Source organism: Homo sapiens, chromosome 4, assembly GCF_000001405.40.
Source record: "Homo sapiens chromosome 4, GRCh38.p14 Primary Assembly".
In the NCBI taxonomy this organism is placed as follows: domain Eukaryota; kingdom Metazoa; phylum Chordata; class Mammalia; order Primates; family Hominidae; genus Homo; species Homo sapiens.
The window spans coordinates 12023424-12032628 of record NC_000004.12 but is presented as its reverse complement, the minus strand read 5'-3'; the positions used below and the strand labels follow the sequence as shown (position 1 = coordinate 12032628).

Sequence of the window (9205 nt, the reverse complement as noted above, 5' to 3'; positions counted from 1 at the left end):
TTTTTTTTCCTGTGCCATCACTTTTCTTAATATGAAACTATTACCTGCCAATTGTAGAAAAAAATAGAAAATGCAGAAAAGAATACATTTAATCTGTCCTAAACTCCACCATCATGAGATGAGTAAGTGAATACCAAATCAGAAACATGCACTCATACACACACAATAAATTGGACACTATCTGTATTGTAGGCACCAATAGTATACTACCAATTCATCTATTTCATCACACACATTTAAAATCTCATAGATGCTATGCACTGTTAGTGCTCTTTCCTTCATTTACTCTACACCGAAGTTCCTCAGAGATATCTCTCATTTGGGTTGAGGGGTTAATAGGTTTTAAAAGAGCAGAATTATGGTGACAGATGCTCAATATTTAGTGAGCACCTTCTAGGTACCAAGGATTGTGTTAGTCCTGGATTGACAAAAACATGGAATGTGCTTTCTGCTCTAAAATAGTTCATGGTCTAACAGAGAAGAAGCAATAAAACAGTAAATATGGTACAAAGAAGTAGGTCCCATGATATTAAAAATTATACTCTGAATTCAAAAGATAGAACTTTTGTTTAAATCTCTTTTTTTTCTGGCAACTATTGCTGGCTTATGTTTATGTTGTCGTAAAGAGTAGAACATTATCATATTCCCTTATTACATCATTTAAGAATAAAATGTTTATTGGAGTTAAGTATTTTGGTTCCCTATAATGAAACCTGGATTTGAAACCCAAACATACAACCTGAACTTGAGTTGATGATAAACAACAATTCTGTAAAATTGGGTATTTAATTTGGGGATCACTGATTATCATTGTATTGTTCTGCTGAAAAAACTCTATTGGTTCCCTATTGCTAACAAATGGACATGTCTTAGGCAGGATTCCCATCTCCTTCAAAATTTAGGTCCATTCTTACCTTTTCAAGTATATTTTCCATTCCTGTCACCCCTGAGTCCTGGTGTTCCAGTAAACATGTTTTGCTATGTTCTGTTCTTTCTATCTTCTTTTTCTCCTATGGTTTCTTCTGTCTGGAATACAATTCACATGGCCATGTGACTCCCACCCTCCAACTGACTAACTCCCATGCCCAGTACTCTCCTCTGCAGGTAGTTGGTTTAACTGAAACCCCATGAAACTTTAATGGTGGCTCTGTAGCATGAACCTCTCCTCCCCTGGTGGACAATGAGACTCTTCAGAGAAGAGCCTGAAGCACTGCTGCCTCCTTCTCACTGTCACACATGCAACTGGGACTCAGATGTATTGAAAGAGTTAATTAATTAATTTTATTTCCTTATAGCACATCTTTGAAACCATTGCCCAACTATATTGATTTTAACATGCTTCCAAATATAAAATAATATGGGCTACAAAGCAAACTGAAATATGAATGTAAACAGAATAGAGTAAAAATTGTGACATAAACTTATAAGACAGTGAAATGGAATGTAAATATATATATTTATATTGTGAGAGAGATATATGTATATATATCTCACAAATGTTCAATATAACAACATGCAGAAGGGAAAGAATAACTCCTCCTCATGTTCATCTTTTCTGTCCAGAATAATTTCCTTTAAATGAAAAGGCATAACTAGTATATTTTAAGTGTTTTTAGACTAAGATTTTGAGACAGTCTATTAGAGTGAGAAAAGCATTAGACTTCAACAAAAAGACATTCATTCAAGTCCAGCTTTCTAACATACTATCTGGAAACCTTGTACAATTCACCTGACCTTCTATGTCAATTTCTTCGCATGTATTATAGCAATGATATCAAGAAATCATGGAGAAGATCAATAAATATATTTTTGGTAAATTTTCATAGTAAGTTATGGAACCCTGCTATAAACATGAGGTATTATTACTGAAGCAAGTGCCATTTTCAAATTATTTGTGGGTTGGAAATCATTTTTTAACAGAATTCAAAATGAATCTAGAAACTAAAATTGTGATTTTTTAAAAAAAAACAACAATGGAAATATCAAAATATTTTGAGATTCATCCCTGAATTAAACTGTGTCATTCCACTGCAGCCTCTGAATGATGGGTAGGCACACTGTTCTCCTGTCTTAACTCAAAGCATCAGTTTGTGTTTGCTGATGATTTTGTGTGTTGAGTTTCATTACTGTTATTTCTACTGAATAACTCTGACATCATAGTGATGGTTTTGCCTTAGCTGAAGGTCACAGCTGTCTGTAAGGAGTGTCTATAATGCACTTCACTATCCATATCTGCAATAACCCTCTTTCATGCTGCATTTCTTCCATTCAAATCATTATACTAATACCATAGCCTTTCACCTTTTAAAAAAGATAAGAATAGTCCTTCAATCACTGAAGGACTGGTTGGTACACTGTAGCTCTCTGTTTGCCGCAAAAATGACAGGGCATGTATTGTAAATTACACAGAACAAAGACTTTGAGGCAGGGAGACACAACCTGAAGTCTTAATGTCACCTCATTGACCTTGAAAAAGTTACCCCAGTAGTGTTCAATTTCAACTTCATCTACAATACGGAAATAAATGAGAGCATTAATGACCTAATCAGGTTGTTGTGAGATCTTTAAAGTAACATGTGAAAACTCTTTATACTAAACTATAAAATAGTGCTCAAATATTATTTATTATATTGTAAAAATGCTTTCAGTTCTTTAATAAGGCTAAATTGGGGGCAATATTTTTAGAATTATCAAATGAGAGATTTTGGAATTCCTGAGCGTGGTGGCAACACACAGAGAAATGGCTTGTTAATATCCACTGGGTAGAGCAGCGAAGTGGCATCAGGACCATAAAGGATGCAGTTGACAAGTCATAGCTGCTTGCCTTCCAGGAGGGATCTAACCTGCCTCTAACTACCTGGCTCCAGAGCAACATAGTTACATCTCCAATCCTGACTGCTTAACACAGTTATTCCCCTGCTCTCTCTTAATCTTTGGCATCTACGTGATATCTGAACACCTGACTCATAGCAGATTATTTTCCTATCTGGAAAGTGACCCGTATGGTACATGCCAGGCAGCTGTACTGAAGAGACTGTGCCTTAGGCCTGGGCCCAAATGTCTTGGGTTTGACACCTGTCTCTGACATTGGCTGATTTATGAATTTGGTAGAGGAACTCCATCTTCCTCAACTTGGGTGTCCTCATTTTTCAGAAATAAAAAATTGGGCTGGGGCAGTGGCTCACGCCTATAATCCCAGCACTTTGGAAGGCCCAGGCGGGCGGATCACGAGGTCAGGAGGTGGAGACCATCCTGGCTAACATGGCGAAACCCTGTCTCTACTAAAAATACAAAATGGCAGGCGCAGGTAGTCCCAGCTACTCGGGAGGCTGAGGCAGGAGAATGGCGTGAACCCGGGAGGTGGAGCTTGCAGTGAGCCGAGATTGTGCCACTGCACTCCAGCCTGGGCGACAGAGCAAGACTCCGTCTCAATAAATAAATAAATAAAAATAAAATTAAATAAATAATTAAAAATTACATCACAAAGGATTGAAATAATGGTTAAGTCTGATAACTTAACTGAAAGTGCAAAATAATTGCCTGATGACACACATTCAAATAAGAGCAAGTCCCTTCAGAAGTTGTTGCCTTCTTTTGAAACTTCGTGAGACTCTTAATATTGCATTGTCTTCAGAGGACTTAAAAAAACAGAAAACTCATAGTGTAATGCAGAGAGCTGTAATAGTTGCTTAGGAATAATTTCAAATTCCAGTACTAGCTTACTGGTGAACAATAGTTTCATTCTGATGACTCTTGTGGCACAGAGCAAGCACCAGGATGCAAATAGGTGGCAAGCCCTGACATAGGCTATTTGGGGTTTGAGGCAGGTTAATTGCTGAGCTTTTGGAAATAGTATCAAAGCGAAAATCACATTCGTCTCATTGAATCCAGAGTAAGAGTTAGAGAACCCTAGGATCTGAGTCTTCACAGGATGTGATCCTAAATTGCAAAGATTGTGTTGCAGGAATTTTGTCCGGGGCCCATAAATCTGCATGATTAACAAGCATCGTGAATGAGTTTGATTGTGGTTGTCCAGGGTATGGGAACCACATTTTAAGATGCTTTATAACAATTTTTCACAGAGAGGCTAGCTGTAGCCCCATGACAGTAAAGCTGGTGAATTAAGTCTGCTCAAGTAGCATTAATGTTATCTACCACGATAGCGAATAGAAAATTTATGAAAGTGGTACAATCTGCTGAGGCATCTGGGATTGCTCATTTCATCTTGGGCTATTTTCAGGTGCTGAAAGAATAGAAACAAAGTTCGATGATGAAACAGCTTTTAAAGCACAACCAAAGCCTGGCATTTTTTTTCCCAGCTGGTGCAATAAGATCTACAATGCATTTTTAAAGTTTTATACATTATTATTGTGCCTTCCACATACAACAACATAAATGCAAAATTGAGTGAAAAGCTAATGTAAAAAGAAAAACTAAAAAGCATTTCAAAGCTTAAAGTAAAACATATTGTGAGAAAAATATTCATCGATTTTACTATACTAAACTTTTCTATACAATAAAAATATTATAAATATGTTAAGTGATGAATTATAAACCAGAAAAAATTTGGAGTATGTATGAAAGATTAGGTGCACGTATATTTTTATATAAATAATTCTATGAGCCAATGGAAATTAGCATGTGCTGCAAAATAATAAAAGAGAAAGATCAAAATTTTAAAAGAGGAAATACAAATATTAATAAGCATAAGGAAAATATTTAATCTCATTAATAGCATTTGATTTTCTGAGAGGTGCTACAGAACATAATAAAATTCACCCTGGAATTCTCAATCTTTTCCTCTTCTCTGCTACATTTGGCATGATTTGGAAGTTGAGAAGCAAGCAAGCTTTCAGAAATTGATATCACCTGAGGTGAGTCCTAAACAATCGATGGAAATCAGTGAGATGAAGACAAACTCTCTAGCTAATGGCAATCACACTGAGAAAGGAAAGTCTGTGAAAGGAGTATATAAATGCACGCAGTCTCAGGCTGCTGCAGAGTGAAGAGCGTGGGTAGAATTGCCTGAAGCTGAAGCCGAAAGGTAAGCCAGACGATTGAGAGTCTTAAATGGCAAGCTATGGATTTGGTTGTGTAATATTGGCAGGGAGACATTTTTTAAAAATGAACTAAAGTGCGGCCGGGCGCGGTGGTTCACGCCTGTAATCCCAGCACTTTGGAGGCCGAGGCGGTCGGATGACGAGGTCAGGAGCTGGAGACCATCCTGGCTAACACAGTGAAACCCTGTCTCTACTAAAAATACAAAAATTAGCCAGGCGTGGTGGCGGGTGCCTGTAGTCCCAGCTACTCCGGAGGCTGAGGCAGGAGAATGGCGTGAACCCGGGAGGCGGAGGTTGCAGTCAGCCGAGATGGCGCCACTGCACTCCAGCCTGGGTGACAGAGAGAGACTCCGTCTCTAACAAAAAAAAAAAAAAAAAAAACAGGAACTAAACTGCACCTGTAGTCCCAGCTACTTGGGAGGTGAGGAGGGAGGATCAGTTGAGCCCGGGAAGTCAAGGCTGCAGTGAGCTAACAACTGCACTCCAGCCTAGTCACAATAGTCACAATATACTCCAGCCTGGTGACAAAGCAAGACCATTTCTCAAAAATAAAAAAATATTAAAAAAAGGAAAGAAATACAAGACAGAGCAAAACAAAAACAAGTAACTGAAAAGACCAGGCCATCCATGTATTTTTCTGTTTTTATTCCTGCATCCATTTTTGCAATAAAAGTTTATTAAGCAATGACCATCTGCCTCTTTTTCATAATCTATATGAGTCAAATGATGTCATTCCCCTGTTCAAATTCCGTGTTTTGTTTTGTTTTACCCACCTTCCTCAGTTAAAGTCATCATTATGAGAATAGCTCTCAGAATCCTACCTAAAGTCATATAAAAAGGGAATCAGATAAAAGTGAATTTGAGCCGTAATCCTAGCAGTTTGGGAGGCCAAGGCTGGCGTATCACTTGAGGTCAGGAGTTTGAGATCAGCCTGAACAATATGGTGAAACCTCGTCTCTACTAAAACTACAAAAATTAGCCAGGTGTGGTGGCTAACGCCTGTAATCCCAGCTACTCAGGAGGCTGAGGCAGGAGAATCACTTGAACCTGGGAGGCGGAGGTTGCAGTGAGTTAAGATCGTGCCACTGCACTCCAGCCTGGGTGACAAGAGCGAAACTCCATCTCGGAAAAAAAAAAAGTGAATTTGAATTAAATGGAAGGTATTTGTTTATTCTTGGGAGCTGTATCAAAACAATGGAATGAAATGTTAATATCTCCCCACCTACCAAGCCCCCATTGGACCAAACAACTTCTCTTCCTCCTTTGAAGCTCTAGCCTATGGATGTTTATCTCCAGAGTGACTTTAGTAATCAACCCATTGCTTTTAAGGATAAAAGGAAACTTGTTTATGAGTATAGAAGGCTCTTAAGACTCTCCTATATTCAGTAGTGGAGAATTCCATTTCCAGGATAAAGAGTAGCATGAATGCCTCTTGCATTACCCACATCTTATAGGAAAATATTTGCAGGTGAAACTGAAGTTACTGGGCTCTAGGAAGTGTGTAATTCCTGCCAGGTTAAGCAGCTAAGGATGAAGGATATGGAGTCAGTTTCCAATGGAGGATGACACTGAGAAAGACTTAGGTCCCTAAGAGAGCAAAGCTTGTGAGAATGCGGCATTTTGCAGAAGTGAGAAGCAACCCAAAGATGAAATGAGATGTGATCCGATTGGGCACCAGGTGTATTTGTTTCCTAGGACCTACTGTAACAAATTTTCACGACCTAAGTGGCTTAAAACAACAGAAATTTACAGTCTCACAGTTGTGAAGGATAGAAGTGTGATTGTCAGGGTCATCCTCTCACTGAAGTCCCTATGGGAGAATTTGCCCCATGCCTTCTGGCTTCTGGTGGTTCCTGGCAATTCTTGGAGCTGCTTGGCTTGTACACTTCTCACTCCAATTTCTGCCTTTGTTAACACAAAGCATTCTCCCTGTGTGTCTGTGTATTTGTGTCTCCTCTTCTTACAAAGACACCAGCCATATCAGATTAAGGGCCTATTCTACTCCAGCATGACCTCATCTTAATTTGGCTACATTATAAGAGACTCTTTTTTAAGAAAAGGTTACATTCACAGGTACTAGAGGTTAGGACTTGAACATCTTTTAAGGGGACACAATTCTAAAAGGGGACATCTTTTAAGGGGACACAACACTAGAAGTCACTCACTTTTGGGAAAAATCAATATGATCTTTTTTTTTTTTTTTTGACCTATGTATACTTCCTGGAATTCACTGGGAACCCCTGTGGGAGGGAGACCTGTATACACAGCCAATATGGCAGGCAGGGTCTTGGACCAGATTTAATGCAATTGAGAGAAGGAAAAGAGGTTACATTTTTACAGTGTGTTTTATGAAGAAATCGTAGTGATTACAATGAGAAAAGGGGGTTATTCCCACCATTATAAATGACAATCTATGCCCATTTAATGTGCAGTATTGACTCCAGATGACTCCTGGAGGGTAATGTGATGGTGTGGCCATCAACAGGCACCCAATCGTAAGTTGATTCTCAGAATTAGAAAACGGTTCAGAAGAGCAGGTTCTAGTTCCAGTTCTGCCCATTTCTAACTGCACTATCTCAGAGCAGTCACGTAATTTCTCTGTGTCTCAATTTTCTCAGCTAAATCCAGGTCTAAAAATGCTTATTCTGGCTGGGTGTGATGGCTCACGCCTGTAATCCCAGCACTTTGGGAGGCTGAGGCGGGTGGATCACGAGGTCAGGAGATCGAGATCATCCTGGCTAACACGGTGAAACCCTGTCTCTGCTAAAAAACAAAAAATTAGCCGGGCGTGGTGGCGGGTGCCTGTAGTCCCAGCTACTCGGGAGGCTGAGGCAGAAGAATGGTGTGAACCCGGGAGGTGGAGCTTGCAGTGAGCCGAGATCACTCCCCTGCACTCCAGCCTGGGCAACAGAGGGAGACTCCATCTCAAAAAAAAAAAAAAAAAAAAAAAAAAAAACTGCTTATTCTGCCTAACCATGCAGTGTTGAGATGCTCAGTAGAGATAATCCCATGTTAAATTTCCGAATAAAACTAAAGTGCACGAGAATACTTAAGAAACTATTCTCATTTTAGTTTGTCTTTTGTTTCCTAACTCTTTCTTTTTTCCAGGATGACTTGATACTATCAGAACTATTTTATTTTCTAACAACACAACTTATTTTAATAGGTTATTGCCATTCCAAATAAGTTATCCTTAGATCGATAAACCCAAATATTGGTCCTTAGCTCTTGATTCAAAATAATGGTCAGAAAACCTGTAGTATAATAATCGTAATAATGATAGTAAGTGCTATGTGAGGCTCAAACCTATATCCTTGAGTTACATATAATACTATAAACATCTTTTAACCAAGCTTACTCGCTTTAAAACACAAACTTCTATTTGTCTACACATAGACAAGATTTGCAAATTTCACAGAAATGCCAGAAAGTGATAAAGCTGCATTTGGTCTCATAGAAGCTTAGTAGCCTAAGAACCTAAAAGTTGGTAAGTGGCAGGGGCAAGTTTTGTGCTCTATGTGTGACTTCAGATCCTATGCATTTAAATTCAAGCTTTACAATTCTGAAGTCCAAGAATTGTTTATTTTTCTACTTGCATTGCATACAGAAATGTTGCTTGTATCACATTTCATAGTGATTAACTAAGTCACTTTTTTGTGATGGATTATTATAGATCATTATGAATTATGGAGTGAATGTGAATATTGTAAAACACCGTTTCAGAATCTTTCTAAAGGATTACTTGATTTCTTTTCTAATTTGACAAAGTAAAATGATATACTAAGTTAAAGAATCTGTACTATAAAATATGTCTTTGTTCCTAAATGTCCTACTAAGCTTGAACATGGAGATTTTTATTTTTTAAATAAATGTACTGCCTATTGTATTTTACAAGTATTTATTTGAAGTTTACTTATTTAAAGTCATAGGTAAGAGTAGAATGAAGTTTTCTTTTTGATGATGTCTTTGTCAGTTTAGTTACACCAATTGATCTAGCCTCAAAAGTGTGCTTGCAAACCCCTTCCTCCCTTTTTTTTTTTTTGTATGATCAGAAACAATTCATGTAGCCTACAAATAATTTGTTACTTGAAAGTTTGAAAGCACTCACCTATAAAACACTGCCTGGAGCAGACATTTCGAGGTAA

At 38.2% G+C, this 9205-nt stretch overlaps 1 annotated feature.

Moving 5' to 3' along the window:
* Positions 4739-5238: an enhancer, noted in NCBI's record as "H3K4me1 hESC enhancer chr4:12029015-12029514 (GRCh37/hg19 assembly coordinates)". NCBI's record gives its function as "activates a minimal SCP1, AML or CMV promoter by ChIP-STARR-seq in primed H9 embryonic stem cells {active_cell/tissue: H9 hESC(primed)}" and the evidence as "EXISTENCE:reporter gene assay evidence [ECO:0000049][PMID:30033119]".